The sequence below is a fragment of the Homo sapiens genome, chromosome 17 (assembly GCF_000001405.40).
Source record: "Homo sapiens chromosome 17, GRCh38.p14 Primary Assembly".
Taxonomy (NCBI): domain Eukaryota; kingdom Metazoa; phylum Chordata; class Mammalia; order Primates; family Hominidae; genus Homo; species Homo sapiens.
Window position 1 is genome coordinate 30,600,053 of NC_000017.11, and position 18,607 is coordinate 30,618,659.

Below are 18,607 nucleotides of genomic sequence, written 5' to 3' on the forward strand. Positions count from 1 at the left end.
GTGGGAATGCTGTCTCTTCCCTCGCCCGAGAGACGCCAGATTCCCAGCGGGCAGCGGACTCGGTTCTAACCTTCCTCGCCCCAGCCTCTAGGAGCGCTCTGCACGCAGTGGGCGTCTAATAAATGCAGTCGGCCCTGCTTGGACAAAAGCTCTCCTTAAGTGGACCGGACACTATGCCCCTCCAGGTGCCAGAGTTGTCGCCCCCGCTGCCACTTTGCTCCCTGCGCGCGTTCCGCGTGAGACCCTCGGCGGCACCTCACCCACTCCCTGACGGCCGGTGCCAGCCCGGGGCACCCTGGGTACTCTGCGCGCGCCCGCTGGCCCCGCCCGGCCCCAACGGCCCCAACTCCCGTCTCCTCCCAGTCCCCCGGAGCCGACCAGTGGTGGCGGCAGCCCCAGGTCCCGGGTCCCTCAGACAAAAAGGCGGGTGGAGGAGGAGTAGCCGAGCCCAGAGTCCTGCTCCGGCGCCGCCGAGCACCGCCCGCCTCAGCCGACCAGCCCCGTCGGCTACTGGGCCTAGCCTAGAGGAGAGGAGGGAAAGGCCGCGGAGGCCGCGAGGAGACGGCTGGGGCGCCAGCGGCCGGCTGCCGCCTAGTTGTGCTGCCCGGACCAAGGAAGGAGAAGTGGGAGGAGCGGGGAGCTCAGCGGCTCAGGACGACGACGCTCGCCACATCCGGGACCCTCCGGCCGTGGCGGTCGCAGCGCCGGCAGCTCGGGCCTCAGCCCCTGCCTCTGTGGTGACTCCGCCGCGCTTCGACGTCGCCCCTGTCCCCGTCCCGCCCGCCGCCCCCGCCAACCCCGCCGCCGGGGACATGTCCAACCCCTGAAGCCGGAGGAACGGGCCAGTCAGACTGCGCCCGACAGGTGATGGGGAGCGGCGGCCGGGCTGGGCAGCCGCCGGGTGGGCGAGCTGGCGCGGGGTACCTGTTGACTTGGGAAGGGCCAGGATCGCGATCAATGGTGAGTTGGGGGTCGGAGGAGTAGGAAGGCCTAGTTCAGGGAGAGTAATTGGAAAGCCACTCGCTCTGGTTTGGACATTCTTTAAAAAGCCGAGGATGACTCGGGGAGGCGGGGTAGTCTTTTGTGGAGGGGAGGATACACCCGTTCGCATCGCAGCGGATTTCGGGCTGAAAAGTCTTGGTCAAGGAGCCCGACGCTGCCTCCCGGGGCTCGGGGAGCAGCAGCCCCTGGGCTACGGCCCAGGTGGGCTCGTGAAGGGGATTATTGAATCCGGTTGCAGACTGCGCGCAGTAAACACTCCTTAAAGATGGAGCGCTTAACGGGAGGGTGTACGTGTGTGTTCCCGGGTTGTTACCTTGCACACCCACTTATGCCCGCTTGCAAAACCTTTACTCCCCGCCTCTGGCCACCGTTGCCGGGGCCGCACACCTTAAACTCAGGTCTCTCTGAGGAGAGGAGACTGAGGTTGACTTTTCCCATGTGCCTGTCTGATCCGACGGCTCGGGCTCATTGTACACTGTGTTTTGGAAGTGTCTGATTGTAGGGTGGCATGTTTGGGGTTGTACCTTGTAGGCCGCAGAACTTGTGTCACTTCTAACTCCAGACCTGCTTTAAAAACACACTTTTGGAGGCGGGTAGGGGGTACTTTTCTAACTATGTGCTCATACAAACTTTAGAGCAAACTTTCTCTTACTCTCCCCACCCTCCCCCTTCCTTTTTCTAAATGGAAAATAATGTCCGGAGGGGTTGCTAGATAGAAGACTACACTTACAAAGTGTTTATGATTCCAGGCGCATGAAATCTTTAACATTACAGGTACATTTTTGCTTACAGTGCCATTTTTGGTATTCTTACATGGACATGTCACCCCCATTTTAGGAAAACTTGTATTTGGTTTGAAAAGGAATTGAAATCACGACGTTATCCTACCTTCACCATTTACCCCTGATAAATTGTCCACGTTTATATTCCGATGAGTGGTGAGAAAGATAATTTTCCGTAGAGGATTTGTGTGTGCGTGCACGTGTACGAATAAACTGTAATTATGTTTGTCCACACTAGACTTTGAGATTTATTTGAGCTAATTTTGTGGTTGAATGCCTGTGTGTCACATCCCAGTACAGCTAGATGAAAACTTGCAGTGAATTTGGTATTTGAGAATTTATCTCGAATGTCTGTTGGCTGCAATTTAAATAATATACGACCTTCATGACAGTTTTGCTTTCCCTAGGGAAAAATGCAGGGAATCATTAACTGAGTGGTTCTTAATGGAAAACCTGGATTGGAGGATACTTGTATTTCCCCCTACTCCCCCCCATTCAATGTCCTTATATTGGGAGAAGTCAATGGAAACCTTTTTAGGGGATCTTTGTTGCTTTAGAGTTTATCTGTTGCTATCTGGAATCAGTGATCATCGAAAGAACATGCGATCCCAGGTGTGCAGAAAGCATCAGAAATAAGCTGTTTCCATTTACTTCCCTCAAGGCTACATAGAGAAAATGAGGGAAAAAATAGGGATTTTGATTTTCTGCAGATAAAATGAGTTGAGGTTTTTAGTATGACTCAGTAGATCTTAAAGTGTTTATCTGTGGTTTCTGTACTGCCTATGATACATTATAAAAATTTATAAGTAAAGTTTGTTAAGAGGAAAGATTATGCTTATATTTTAGGGGAAGAGGGAATATTGAACTACATTTATAGAGTGATTTTGTTTCAGGTTTTTCTGAGGATTTTTTAAATACCCTGTGTCCACTTAATAGGAAAAACAGTTTGAGGTACTCTGAGTTTCTTACAACTATTTGTCTCTGAATAGTTTTCTCTTAAAATTTGACAAATGTTAAAAACATTGTCCTTCCTCCTTTGGTTATAGTGGAGTCTTCTGTTTTGCCAGGAAAGCGAACATTTTTTTTTTCATTTTTGTTCATCATTTACAAATTAGATGGGATATATTTTAGCAAATAGATCTCAAGAGCTGGATTTAATTAGCAGCTTTTTAGGACATAAACATTAAAGGGTTAGATGGAAAAGATTGTTTTGACTGACAGGATAAATGACAGGGCTGTGTTTGATGTGCGTCCAGGAATTGGTCTGGAGCTGGTGCCCAACTTCTCAGTCCATCTTGAGAAGCCAAATAAAATACTTAACCTAGGCCTCATTTTGTTTAAAAAAAAAAAAAAAAGTTGATTCTTTGTTAAGACCTTAAGAAATGTTTGGCATACCTTTAGACTAAGTGTTTAACAGTTCATTTAGACCTGGGTTCCCTAATAGAGGAAAAAAAATCACTTAAAAAAAGACAGATCCCACAGTGAATTTATATTTGGTTTACAATACACTTGGGCTGTAAGATGTTTTAAAATTATTGTTCTTTGCTTTAAGTTAATACCATATTAGTATTTTAAATTTATAGAGTACCTTTGATTTCAATATGCTGTATAAATTTTAGTTACTTGGTAATAACCTTATTGCGGAATTGCCTTTTTACTGAAAGGTATAAACATTTCTTGCATGGTGACACACACACACACACACACACACACACACACACACTCACACACTCACACACTCATACACTGTCTTTCTGAAATATTTGAACCGTGAGAGCTCTGCCCACAATTGATATTAGACCTTTCCACATATTATTCTTAAAACCACAGTCAGTGAATTGTTTGGTATTTGTCAATGCTAAGAAGGTGGGACTAATTTAATAATTTGATCCCAAATTTTAGATTCCTCAGGCAATTGGGGGTTAGAATCCAATTTCATCCATCAAGCTACTTCTGTTCTTTGTGACACATTAACATATGATCATTAAAATGGGCTGTATGGTAACACTATCAACTTCAACTAATATTTCTAGAACAAATTGATTATAAAATGTATAATTTCTATACCATTATACCTATATGACTGTCAGATACAGGCTTTTCTTACAATGGTTTGGATAGAAAAATATTCTTTACAGTAAAAACTTTAGGATAATTTTCAGACCATTATTGTTTTTGAAAACCAAAGGCTGCAAAAAGCAGTTTAATGTAATTTCTAATATTTTAAATTCTTAGGTATGGAGAAGTAGAATAAGATTACTCCTTCAGAACATTTATTTCAGATCTTTTTATAAATTTAATGTTTTTGTATGCTGCTTCTCATATTATTAATTTCAAAGCCCTTGGCAGTAAGGAGGTTAACCTTGTCTATAATGTAAGGAAATTTAACTTTAAAAATTTCCCTTTATATATGCTAGCGTCTTAATCTTGTTTCACTACATATTTTATTAATTCAAGGCCTTGAAAATTATGGCTTTATTCTATTACACAGGTTTTTAAGTATGCCTATACACCATAATGACGTTATTTATTTATTTATTTATTTGAGATGGAGTTTCGCTCTTGGCTGGAGTGCAGTGGCGCGATCTCAGCTCACTGCAACCTGGGCCTCCCGGGTTCAAGCGATTCTCCTGCCTCAGCCTCCCGAGTTGCTGGGACTACAGGCGCATGGCGCCACGCCTGGCTAATTTTTTGTATTTTTAGTAGAGATGGGGTTTCACCGTGTTAGCCAGGATGGTCTCTATCTCCTGACCTCGTGATCCGCCAGCCTCTGCCTCCCAAAATGCTGGGATTACAGGCGTGAGCCACCACGCCCAGCCAAGAAATTTTTTAAATGCAAAGTTCTCTAGCCACTTTGTATTTACCACTACATGTCTCACTAACTTCAGGAAACCTGATAGCTTTTGACCACATTAGAGTAACTTGGCTCTCAAGTTAACTTTTTGTAGAATAGTATAATCAGGTTAAGTTGAAACCTATCTTTCTTTAGTCTTCCAATATAATTATAGGACACTTTTTGGTTAAACCATTGTTCCATGTTTACATTATTATGATTATGTAAATATCCATAGTTGGGTCACATGGGTACAAGAATTATATTTTCTTTCTTGACAGCTTTTGTTTTTTCTGAAATTAGTAGCTACTTTTCCCTTTTGTTTAGTTTTCTATTCCTCTCCTAGCTAGAAATGAGAAATTACATGTCATAATCCTCAAACTCTCCTACAGAACTGAAGATCTTTTCTCCATATATTCAGTTCTGTCAGTATTCCTTTGGCTTTGTTTCTTCTTGGAGATACCCCTCCTGGGGGTCTGTGTTCTCTTTCTTCAGCCTGGCATAATGGTTCTCTAAGACCTGCTGGGCAGTTGTCCTGGGACTTGCCTGTATTGTTATGTTGGCAATTTCCTTTGTCTCTTCTAGATTTAGTGACTTCCTATTTTTTGTTTACTCTCCTGATTTGGTGAACTCTATCTTCTGTTGTCATTTTGAGAAATAATACAAAGATGGGAAGAAAGTTTAGATCTTATCAGAAAATATATTTTGATTTCTTATCTGTTGGTATGGTTCGAGTACAGGCTTCTAGATGAAATAGGACTTTATCTCCAAATGTTGAATACATTGGTCCATTATCTTCTAGATTTAGATCCGAACTGTTGAGTAGAAATATAATGTAAGCCACAAATGGGAGCTCATCTGTAATTTTAAATTTCCTAGTATCCACATTAAGATAAGTAAAAAGAAACAGATGACGTTAAGCATAATAAACTGGGCATGGTGGCTTGCACTTGTAATCCAGCTACTCGGGAGGCTGAGGTGAGAGGATAACTTGAGGCCGGCAGTTTGTGACCACACTGGGCAACATAGCGAGACCCATAATATAATATATTATGCATAATAAGCATAATTTATTATGCTTAAAATGAAGCATAATATATTTTATTTAATTCAATATATCAAAAATATTTTCTACATGGCAGTATAAAAATATTGAGCTACTTACATATTTATGTATATATACATATTTACTATGTCTTTGAAAAATCAGTGGTTTTCTCATTTTATGTTAAGAAAAATCAGTGGTTTCTTTTGCAGCTTGCCTCAATGTGGACTGGCCACATTTGAAGTACTCAAAGGTCCCATGTGGTTGGTGGATACCATTTTGGACAGTGTAGGTTCAGAGTATTGCTGATGGCATCCTGATTTTGATCTGTCATGACTGTTGTTTTCCACTGGAAGTTTCTTTATTCTTCTGTCGCTTGTTATTTTCCTTTAAAAAAATTGTAGCCCCCCTAGTGGGTATGAAGTTGTACCTCGTCATGGTTTGGAAGTGCATTTCCCTCATGACTAATGATGTTGAACATCTTTGCATGTGCTCGTTATGTTTTATCTTACAGTTAATATTAATTGGCTACCAGAGGCTTCTCTCTTGCTTGTGTCTGAGGTCATTTTGCAAAATCCTTGCCTTTAATTGGCTAAGTGTACAAACAAAAGTCTAATAATTAAATTTTAGCCCAAAATCCTGAGTATATATATTGTACTTTTGTCTATATGGTAACATTATATTCACCTATAGAGGTTGCCATCTACCCCTCTCAGCAAAACATGCTGAAACTTGTTTATAAATCATGTATTTGTTAGTGAAGTCAAAGTTTTAATAGAAGCTAATAGAGCCCTCTATTTAACTTTCAATTATAAAAGTCTTTACTTTTTCTTTTATGTGGCCATGTATGTTATATTACATGAGGTTTCATTAAAGTGAGAGCATGTACTTCTCTGTGTATAAGAAAAGGTAATACTTCTGATTAATTTCTGGCCCAGGAATATTTGGACAGAATGTTTGTGACATGTACACTTAAATAATACAATATATTTCATAATTTTGAGTAATTCAGAGTTAGGCTGTCTTCTAGAAGGTCCATAATTAGCAATTTCTTATTATGGTTTAATGTAGAGCTTCCCAACCTTTTCATATCATGGTACACATAAAAAATATTATGGCACACTGGACTAAACAGGTGAAGTTGCTTAAGCCAGTGGTGCATTGCTCTGAGGACTGAGGTAATCGATATATGTATTTCAGCATACCTGTAAACCAGGCTTATTAGTTGGACAACTGGTTTAATGTGACTTTAAAAAAAATGTTTGGTTTGGGTAATTCAGCTACTTAATTACTGGATTCTGGCTCTGGAATTACATGCCAGTAGATATATACCAAGATAGGTCGGGTAGGTGTATTTGAAAATTGGTACATGCATACTGAACAATATTTTAGTTCATGTCTTTTCATTTGCAAGCAACAGAGACCAAGTTCAAATCGGCTTAATTTTTAAAAAGGGAATGTACTGATTTGCATAATGAAAAGCCCGGGGGTGGGCATTTTTTAGGCACAGCTAGATCCCGGGGCTCAAGTTTACCTTCCATATTCCTTATTTGAAAGCTTTAGTCCTTACTTCAGTGGTTTAGGCTTTTCTCTATACTAGGTGAATTTTTCTGATATTGCTAATTTATTTAATTAGCAATACTTTAGACTAAAACTTTGACCTCTTAATGTCATTGAAATAGAGCTAGGATTCTACTGACATCATTATGTTATTATATTATCTTTTTGCATGAGTTGATGCCATGTTACTAATTGGCTGTGATAGAGCCTTTACGTACTTGCAGGTATATCCACAGACAAGTACAGTAATGCTTCTCCCTGCACTGCTTGTCTGCAGGAGGTGAAGTGAAATCTGCAAGAGTCCTGCTCGTTCAAGGCCTGCATACAGGAAAGAAGCAGGGGAAAAGCGTTAGAAACAGCTTTTGTTCTACAGCATTTTAAAATATAATAGGTAGGTCAAATTTTTGGTCTGTCAGCCTTGACACTATCCCTTGAAAGTAGGTCATGTCATTGAAATGTATTTAAAATGTGACTGTGATAAAAGTTGTTTTTTTGTTTTGTTTTGTTTTGTTTTTTGAGACGGAGTCTCGCTCTGTCTCCCAGTCTAGAGTGCAGTGGCGCGATCTCGGCTCACTGCAAGCTCCGCCTCCCGGGTTCACGCCATTCTCCTGCCTCAGCCTCCTGAGTAGCTAGGACTACAGGCGCCCGCCACCACGCCCGGCTAATTTTTTTTTTATTTTTTATTTTTAGTAGAGACGGGATTTCACCGTGTTAGCCAGGATGGCTTGATCTCCTGACCTCGTGATACGCCCGCCTCAGCCTCCCAAAGTGCTGGGATTACAGGCGTGAGCCACTGTGCCCGGCCATGATAAAAGTTTTTAAGATTCTTTTTCTTGGAAAGAAGTTATTTAATAAACTCCCTTAGTGTTATTAGACACTAGCTACCAAAATAGCCTTTTTACTAACTAGAATTATAGCCCAGCTTGAGAGTGGCAGATGTGATAAAAATATACTAAAATTGTTTTTAAAAATTTTACTTTCAAGATTTTTTAAAACTTTATATTCAATCCTGTGGATTAACTCATGTATTTTGCATAATCTAGCCAGGCTCTGAAGCATATTTGTAACTTTAGGGTATAAAAAGAACAAAAGAAAAATTTTACGCCCACTGCCTTATAACTACCAACATACTTATGCAGCCATTTTCATTTTTAGGTATATTGAAAAGTCTGATTCAGTTACAATCAGTGTATGGAATCACAAGAAGATCCATAAGAAACAAGGTGCTGGATTTCTCCGTTGTGTTCGTCTTTTTCCAGTGCCATCAACCACCTCAAAGACACTGGTTGTGAGTAGATACTACTGCTTTTCAAATTATATATATATATGTGTGTGTGTGTGTGTGTGTGTGTGTATGTATGTGTGCATATACATATATGTGTGTGTGTATATGTATGTGTGCATATACATATATACATGTAGTATATATGTATTCTCAAATATATATGAAGGATATATATATTTGAGTATGTTGGTAGGGGTTCAAACATAACTTCTTGTGTATGTCTGAAACATTGGTAAAAATTCCTGGTCTAAATTTATTTTGTAGACTTAAAAAAAATGAAACGTTTTAAATATGTGAAACTTACAGCTAAATGAGAGCTGATGCTTCATTTCCAGTTAATTTAAAAGTATTAAGAAATGATTGATATCTAGAATGGCAAAAAAAAAAGGTGTCAGGATGTATATACCTTTTAAAATTTCTTAGTACCCTTTTCTGGTTGTGGTGGATTTGTGGACAACATGTTTTTATTTAGGTGATTGGAGTCTTTAAGGTGGCAGTTAAAGAGCAATTACGAAGGGATAAGAATGGTATAATATATAAAACTGCTGTGACAAAATTAAAAGTTAAAGAAAGATTAAACATTATTTTGAGTGTATGACGGCTCTATGAACTACTTAACTGTAGCTCAGTTTGTCACCAACCTGGGTGTTTAAAAGATTAGACCAAGATCAAGACATTAGAAGTGGTTTTCATAATGGATTTATAAGGTGACTTAGCATAACCAGGTGACGGTCTTTTGGGTGGGTCTTTCCATTGGAACATAAATGGGAATTCCTTTTTCAACAGGTTTTCTGTGTGTGTGTTTGTTTCTATAGAATTCTTGTGTATATAATGTAAAAAATACTGTTAGTCTTCGTAATGGGATTTTAGCCCAGATGCATATGCTAAACAAACTCGCATAAGAGCTAAAGAAATTAATAAACAGAAAAGGAGTAAATTTAGCATTGAATGTTAAATATGTTAAGAGATTGTCTCTTTTAATGTAGTATGATACCACAGCATAGGTATATATTGACCTTGTGAAAAAGAAAAAGGCAGAAAACTGAGCTAGAAGTTCTTAGTCCAAGGTATTTAAAGGCATCTGAGAAGTTCTTGTATTTCTGGGCTGACAGGGTAACCAACAGGAGAGAAAGGAAACGAGTTGCATATAAAAATGAACTGTTTTCTTACTCAGCAAACTGAAAAATTATAGGTCAAATGTCTGACATTATCCCTAGTTCAATTTAGCCAACGTTTATTGAAGACTTAATGTGCTACTGTTCTAAACCCTGGCTGTATAAAGGAGAAAGAGGCATGAACCCTGTCCTCTGAGAAGGAAGGGCAAAGGCCTGCTGGCAAAGGGAGCATGCCGCATGGGAAGGACTGAATAGGAGAGGAGTTGCTCTGCAGAATCCACTGTGTAGCCAACTTAGCAGCACCCATTTATTTTGCAAAGAGAAAAGTGTCTGTATTTTTGGTTGGATAACCAGGGACTGTAGTTTAGGGGCATGGATTTTTCTTTGTGTTTCTTGTGACTGTCTCATTGTATTAATTTATTTGACTTTTTTGATGTGCAGTAATACTGAATTTATCAAATATTTATTGAGCACCTACCTGATGCAATGTTCTACGGGGTTGGAGTGGAAAATACAAAGACTACGATATGGTCTCCTCCTTTTATCAATTCACAAATAAGTAGACAGATGGCATACGGTTGTAAAAGTATTCAGCTATAAGTACTGTAATCAAAGTAAAACCAGCATGCTTTGGGTGACATTGTTCCTTACTGTAACTTTCAGGGTCAGGCCAGTGTTATATCTCTTTTACAGATGAGGCATCTGAGAGAATAAATGAGTTGCTCCTGAATGAATTAGTGGCAGAACTGATGCAAACCCAGATTCTACAGTTTATTCTTGGCTTCTTATTAATACTTTTTTGTGTGCATGTCATTTGAAATGGTTAGTTAAAAAATAATAATGACAACTAACATTTGTTGACCATTTATGTGCCAGGCACTATGCTGTGAGTTTTGCATAATTATCTGATTTAATCCTTAAAAAATATGAGGATTCACATATTGCCATATGTGAGAAAACCAAGGCTGACGGATAAATTCCTTAAGACCAACAACTATTAAGACTCAGACTAAAGTGGTCTAAAAGTTTTGGAGAGAAAGTGACTGCATGTTGGCAATGTAGTACACTAGTGTTTCATGGTTTTTGAAATCTGAATTCTTTAAATGATAGGTTTGATTTCTAATAGATTGTGGAAATTTATTGTCACTCTATAGACATGAGAATCTCTGATACCAGCTAATGTTTTCATTGCTTTCTTTGTTGATTTCAAATAGATCAGAGGTTGGATTTATGCAAACTTGGGCCAAAGGACAGTTAGAAGACAGTAGGTAAGTGTGAATTTAAAGTTACATGAATTTTGGTTTCATTCAAACTGACCTAAAGTCTAAATACCTTTTAAATCAAAGTATGTTAACTGTAGCTTCATAGTGTTGGCCTGAATTAAATGAATCAGGTAAAATGTTACAGTGAATCCAGGATCCAGGTTAACTTAATTTTTAAAACTTTAATGTAAAAAAAAAGTGTCGTGAAGAACTGTTGATCCTTTAGGAAATAATTCTTTCAAAGTATCCTAACATAGTAGAGCACTGAGTTCAGACTTTATAGATGTTATTAAAGTTTACTGAAAATAATTCTCAAACTAGTTTTTTTAGTAAGAAGACAACATTCTATTGAACTTGTTTTAATGTTTAATGCTTTACAGCTTTAAAATCTATGCTAATTGAAAAAAACAGAATGAGCAATGGTAGTGTAACACTGGAAAAAGGGAGAAATTGTTACCTTACTCATGAGGCACTTAGTAGCCTTATATGTTATTTAGGTGTCTTGAATTGACCTGGAGGGAAAGGCTTCAGATAAAATTTGCTGAGACCTTTCCTAAGAATCGATAGAGATTTGATCAAGGTGCATAGTATGGAAGGACACTGTTCATCTTGGAGGCTTCTTGAATTAAAGAAGAAAAATGTGGCCGGGCACAGTGGCTCATGCCTGTAATCCCAGCACTTTGGGAGGCTGAGGCGGGTGGATCACCTGAGGTCAGGAGTTTGAGACCAGCCTGGCAAGCATGGTGAAACCCCATCTCTACTAAAAATACAAAAAATTTGCCGGGCATGGTGACAAGTACCTGTAATCCCAGCTACTCTGGAGGCTGAGGCAGGAGGATCGCTTGAACCCGGGAGGCAGAGGCTGCAGTGAGCCGAGATCACACCATTGCACTCCAGCTGGGTGACAAGAGCAAGCCCCTGTCTCAAAAAAAGGAAAAGAAAAAAAGAAAAATCCAATAGGACTGTCACACTTCATGATAAAGCAGAACTTAGAATAAGATTATTTTGTTATGAACCCATCATAGAGGTTTTAAATACTGAAGGTACTTGAAGGACTTCATTTCACAAGGCAGTGAATTGGGTTCATGGAGAACTACCAGGGTAGCCACATAGCAAAGCCCTACTCTGGTTATCTTAGGGAAGTATCTACACCAGCACTCCCCGACCTTTTTGGCACCAGGCACCGGTTTCACAGAAAACAGTTTTTCCATAGACCAGGCTGGGGTGGAGTTGGTTTCAGGATGATTCAAATGCATTACATTTATTGTGCACTTTATTATTATTACATTGTAATATATAATGAACTAATTATACAACTCACCATAATGTAGAATCAGTGGGAGCCCTGAGCTTGTTTTCCTGCAACTAGATGGTCCCATCTGTGGGTGATGGGAGACAGTCACAGATCATTAGGCGTTAGATTCTCATAAGGAGCAGGCAACCTAGATCCCTTGTGTGTGTGGTTCACAGTAGGGTTTGTGCTCCTATGAGAATCTAATGTCACCACTGATCTGACAGGAGGCGGAGCTCAGGCGGTAATGCTTACTCACCCACTACTCACTCCTGCTGTGCGGCCTGGTTCCTAACAGACCCTGGACCAATACCCCATCCATCCATGGCCTGGGAGTTGGGGATCCCTGATCTACACTACAGCATTACTGATAATTCCTGTCATCCTTAGATTGAGAAGGAAGCAAAAACAAAAAAAATCTCAAAAATCAATTCAGTCATAACAGTACTTTCACATATAAGTGTTCCTTCTGTATTTGATTTATTATGTTACATAATGCTTGCCAACTACTGTCTAGTAGTAACGAAATAGTTTTACTAGATGTGAATTTGCATTTATATAAATAGCAGACTTTGTTAGACATTAGAAATATACCTACTGGAGGTCAGGTACAGTGGCTGACACCTGTAATCGCAGCACTTTGGGAGGCCAAGGCAGGTAGATCACCTGAGGTCAGGAGTTCAAGACCAGCTTGACCAACATGGAGAAACCCCATCTCTACTGAAAATATAAAATTAGCCGGCGTGGTGGCACATGCCTATAATCCCAGCTACTCAGGATGCTGAGGCAGAAGAATCACTTGAACCTCGGAGGCGGAGGTTGCAGTGAGCCGAGATCATGCCATTGCACTCCAGCCTGGGCGACAAGAGTGAAACTCCGTCTCAAAAAAAAAAAAGAAAAAAAAGAAAAAAGAAATATACCTACTGGAGTATACTACATAGAAAACAAATGTTTTACTCTTAAATATGTGTATATATGTATATATATGTATTTATTTAAAGCTCTTGTGTGAATCTGCTGTTCATAATAGGACCATTAATAAGAGAGAGGGAGGCTGGACTCAAACATTATGATTCTTTAGTTCTGTCATTCAAAAACAGAATGAGTTCCAGTTCTTTCAGAATTAGCCCTCTAACAAATAATTGTAAGTAGGTATATATACTTTTTGGAAAATGGAGAAAAGAACACTAGAGGACTAACTTTAAAAACTATATTCCCCTCTAGTATTTTTATATACATAAATATGTATATAAAATGTATATATTTATGTCTTTAATTCCATTGAAGATTAAATTTCTACTTTGCTTTCTTTCACTTACCATAATCGTTTTTAGTATTTATAATCTTTGTAATTATATATATATATATATATATATATATATAGATAGATAGATAGATAGATTTTTTTTTTTTTTTTTTTTTTTTTTTTTGAGACGGAGTTTCACTCTTGTTGCCCAGGCTGGAGTACAATGGCGCGATCTTGGCTCACTGCAACCTCCACCTCCCAGGTTCCAGAGATTCTCCTGCCTCAGCCTCTCAAGTAGCTGGGATTAGAGGCATGCGCCACCACGCCTGGCTAATTTTTTTTTGTATTTTTAGTAGAGACAAGGTTTCTCCATGTTGGTCAGGCTGGTCTCCAACTCCCGACCTCAGGTGATCTGCCCGCCTCAGCCTCCCAAAGTGCTGGGATTACAGGCGTGAGTCACTGTGTCCAGCCGTAATTAATGATTTTTAAAGGATGAAGTATATAGATATATCACAACTTAATAATTAAAAATTTTTTTTGCTATTATAACATTGAAACTTGCAAACATTTTTGTACACTTCGCTTTATTTTTTAGAATCATTGCTGGTATGAAAAAAAAATCTCCCAAGTTGAGATAATTGATTCAAGGAGTACAAAGTTTTTTCCTTGTTTAAAACTGTGATGACCCAGCTACATTGGGAGGCTGAGGTGGGAGGATCATTTGAGCACGGGAAATCTACTGTATTGGCATCGTTATCACTTGGATGTGTACTTTTTCTATGTATTTTTTTAAAAAATGAGATTATACTGAATTTTTAAAAACTGGTTTAAATTTATCATAAACATCTTTGTTTTTTTGGCCCATAAATACATTTCTATAGCATTGTTCCTTTTTTTTTCCTACTTTGCATTAAGGCTTGCAAAATCTATAGCATTTTTAATGTTGTGTGGTAGTCCATGGTGGGTATGTAATTCATTTAACCAGTTAATAGCTCTGCTATTAACAGCATTCTGGAGATGTAAATTGAAGCCCATGAAATTCTTTAGTTTTGAATCTTACTATTATTCTAAACAAAGCTAACGAGAAAATACATTGTTTCTACTGTGATTGTATTTTGATAAGCATTTCACTTATTTTATCTATTTAAAAACTGATGGATATAGTTGTCTAGCACAGTTTTCATAATAATGTTTTGTTTACATTTGCTGAGTAGGTGTTTGTAGTGTTCTGTCCTCTAAATGGGACTTAATGTAAAGGAGCTCTATGTTGAACTGATCCTTCAAAATATTCACAGAACTGGAAGATTTCAGAATTTTGAGACCCTTCTTTGAATGAAGGGTCATTAGATGTAATAATACTTTTTGTACTAACCTATTATTTAAGAAGTTGGATTATAGTCAAGTTTGACTGTACCTCTTTCTGTCTTTTGGGAGAGTTACTAGAATTAGAATTAAACAATACTGGAGCAGCAAAGAAGGACTTCAGTGAGATATCAATTAAGCTAACTTTCTCATTATTCAGATGGGGATTATCTAAACCTTGTTTGTTAAGTGTTTTGTTCAAGTTTACAGTGCTAAACTGGTTACTAGAGCTTGCTCTAGAATCCACATCTCTTGGTTCTTCATTTTTTGCGGTGGTTTTATACTACTCTGGATAATAGTGTCCTGTTAAAACTCATGGAATCCAAGGATTGCTTTCTTGCTGGAATACCAGGATGGCCCTCTTGCTCGAATACAGTATATATTTTTTTTCTTTTTTTGAGACGGAGTCTCACTCTTTCACCAGGCCGGAGTGCAGTGGTGCAATTGCAGCTCACTGCAACCTCTGTCTCCCAGTTTCAGGTGATTACCCTGCCTCAGACTCCCCAATAGCTGGGACTACAGGCACAGGCCACCATGCCTGGCTACTTTTTGTATTTTAGTAGAGATGGGGCTTCACTATGTTGGCCAGGATGGTCTCAATCTCCTGACCTTGTTATCCACCCGCCTTGGCCTCCCAAAGTGCTGGGATTACAGGCGTAAGCCACCATGCCTGGCCCAATATATTTTTTAGATGGTGAGATTACCAAGTATTAAACTTAATGTGGACTTTTCAAACTCCTTTGTACATGAATATACTCTTAATATGTTATGCCTCTTCTTAAGTACAGTAGTGACTCTGCTATGCCCTGTTACTATGGTAAAGAAGGAATTAGGCTTCTTCCATGAACATGATGAAGTGTAGAAAACTTTAGAATTCTAATATTACTCCTAAAGGGAAAAATCTATGGGAAAAGAAATTATAAATTTTAGTAGAAACCAAAGAGGTCATTCTAAAGTATTAAAATAAGCTAAGCCAGATGTTTTCTAAAGATAGAAATTTTTGATTATAGTAATTCTTTCTAGTTGTATGAATCTTAGTAATATTTCTATCATTTAATAGTAAGTCTTCAGTCCAGGGACCAAATCGGCACAGGAGGACAAGTTGTGGACTGCAGTCATTTATTTGATAATGATTTACCAGACAAGTAAGCTAACATCACTGAAATCATTAGAGAAATATATAGATAATATCTATATAGAAATATATATATATAATATATAGATAATATATATAATATATATCTATATATATAATATATAGATATTATATAGATAATATATATATCTATATATAAGGCTCCCGCTGTCTTCATCCTCAGTGTGCCTGTGTTCTTGCTACCATCGCAGCTGAATGCAGTGAAGGGCGGTCCTCTGAGAGGAGCAGGGTGGAGATGCTAAAGTGGATGCCCCCTCCCATTGCTGATAGATCCTCATCTGGCATGTGCTCCACCCACCCACCCCATTCTCTGCTCCCACATATCATAGCCCCATCACAGAAGATGCGACATGGGAAAAAACACTGTGTCCACCTTAGTTCTTTTCTTAAATTTGGGCAGGGATCCAGGGTGTAGGTTAGGAAATTTTTAATTTGCCAGATTGTATGCCTATGTTGTTAAATATACAATGAATCTATGGTATGGTAGCAGTTTCTGGATAAACATTACTTGAGGTCCTAAATGCAGAAGGGAAAAAGCAACTTTTGTCAGATGCCTACTTCACTTTCATTCATCTCTAATATTTTGGATGGGGAATCATCCAAAGCTTCTGAGTGCATGAAGGTCAAGTGTGCCAGTGTGCAGCTGGGCTTCTTTTCCAGAATTAAAAGTATTTTGGGTGGTGCTGAAGGTCAGCGGAAGAAGTAAAGATTGCAAGAAAGGAGAAACATGGGCTTGGGGAGATCCCAGAATTGGGGACAGAAGACCTGGCACTAGGCTACAGCACTTAGCACCTCTGATCTTGTTTTTCCTCACCTGTAAAAGGAGATTAACAATGCTTTTCTGCCCGCCTCTTGGGGAGAAGGGAAGAATATAATTGGTAAAAAAAAAAAACAAGAAAAGAAAAAAAAAAAAGTTCTGAAAAATAAGCAACACTGTCTTTATAGAGGTAGCCAAGCATTATTAATTATCCACCCCATATCACTGGTAGATACCTGTATTCAAGCAGTCACATTTTAGAAGTCATGAAGTTGGTGCTAATAAACCTAATCTACAGAAAAACTCTTGAAAGCATTTGAGCATTTGTTCTGCGAATAGAAAGGTTTGAGATTCAGAGCAAGTTCAGAGTTGGATGGACTAAGAATGGAAAAGCCCTCCATTCCAATAGAAGAGCCAGGTAGCAATTTCTGGTTATGGAACCAGAAGCTCTCAGGCTTCAAATAAAACAGCATCACTTCTACTCTTATAAAACTGTAAAAACAAAAACAAAAACAAAACCGGATCTACATCTGTCCTAAAAGGCAGAGAGTACTTGAGACCTCATGGATATAAAACCAGCTTACAAACTACATTGCACTATATGAAGAAATTATCACTGGGGGCAAAGCACCAAGCAGAGAGCACAGTACACAGTGTGTGGATGTTAATGTTATTCCCTAGCCTTCCCATTCCTTTCTCTTGGTCCTTTATGCATATGGAACGGTTCCATTATTAAACTTTGTAATAATAACTGAGAACCTGACTCCCAGCAAGGGAGTCGTTCAGAAGTTGAGGGAGTTGAAATCTGACTGAGTAAATAAAACAATTAAATCATTAGCTTAACATTTCATCAATTAAAAATAAAAATTTAAAAACAAATACTTAAAATAATGTAACAATTTATCATCACCAGGCAATTTGGACTCACGACAGTGTATGCTGTTAGACATGCAGTGTTGCAATGCAGCTTGACTGTCTTGCAGACAGCCTCAATGCTATTTTTAAATTGGCAGAGGCAGCAGGCCATATGGCTAGGTAAGATCCTATAGATGAAAACACAAAACAATAAATTAGTGGTAAGGCGGTTACTTGAGTAGGTAAAGGAGGCAGCCAACGCTACCACAGGGCTGGGCAAAGAGGTGTTACTGAGGCCTGTGGACTGGACACTTGGGTAGGAACCAGAAGGCCAATGGGAAGGAGGACACAGGTGCCCAACTGAAGGGTAAGCATGGCAGTGAGTATGGTATGCCTAGAATAAAGGTGGTTGGGATTAGAATTGGGTGACACTGATCAGTAGTTTAAATTCAGAGGTATCTCTTCCCGACTCAAAAGTCTCACTTTGGGCTGAAAGTATACAGGAAGAAGGTAGACTTCTAAGAAGAGTCTGAATAAGCCCCCAACTTCTGAAGGCCCTTTCTCAATTTCTGTTGGGAGTGGGAAGTATTAGAAATTACTCTGGGCATTAAAAATAGCTCAGCTTAACCTGGATTGTGGGGTTAAAAAAAATAACGGAGATTGCATTGGCCAAATCTGGACAATTTGAGCTTTCAAAAGAATAACAACAATAAGCTACAACATAATATATAAAAAATCCATGAAGAATGATATTTTAAAAGAGGGGGAGTTGTTCTTTAATGAAATAATGCTAGCTAATAAATGTAGAAGGAATGACAGAATTTTAAAAAGTGTCACTTTGCAACCACCAATGTAATAAAAATAGATTCAGACAAAGATTATCATTGATGAACAGTTGGGTGAAAAGACATTTGAGAACAGGATCTTCACTGATCTCAAAGTACCACCCCACAGATTTTTTATTAATTACCAAAGGGAAAAGTTATTTTTTATTTTTTTATGAGACAAGGTCTCACTCTGTCACCTAGGCTGAAGTACAGTGACAAAATCATAGCT

At 38.9% G+C, this 18,607-nt stretch overlaps 2 pseudogenes across 1 annotated transcript in view, besides 1 other annotated feature; both read left to right on the plus strand.

Moving 5' to 3' along the window:
• SMURF2P1-LRRC37BP1 (SMURF2P1-LRRC37BP1 readthrough transcribed pseudogene) overlaps positions 1 to 18,607 on the plus strand; it is a 61,002-nt pseudogene that overhangs the window by 23,588 nt on the left and 18,807 nt on the right. The window contains exons 3-6 of the transcript NR_015341.2: positions 7,500 to 7,613; positions 8,378 to 8,510; positions 10,837 to 10,890; positions 15,844 to 15,928. The product of NR_015341.2 is annotated as an SMURF2P1-LRRC37BP1 readthrough transcribed pseudogene (transcript). The remainder of the gene's footprint in view (positions 1 to 7,499; positions 7,614 to 8,377; positions 8,511 to 10,836; positions 10,891 to 15,843; positions 15,929 to 18,607) is intronic.
• Positions 230 to 709: a silencer, noted in NCBI's record as "silent region_8398". NCBI's record gives its function as "represses an Ori minimal core promoter by ATAC-STARR-seq in GM12878 lymphoblastoid cells {active_cell/tissue: GM12878}" and the evidence as "EXISTENCE:reporter gene assay evidence [ECO:0000049][PMID:35858748]".
• On the plus strand, positions 546 to 15,924 carry SMURF2P1 (SMAD specific E3 ubiquitin protein ligase 2 pseudogene 1; annotated as a pseudogene).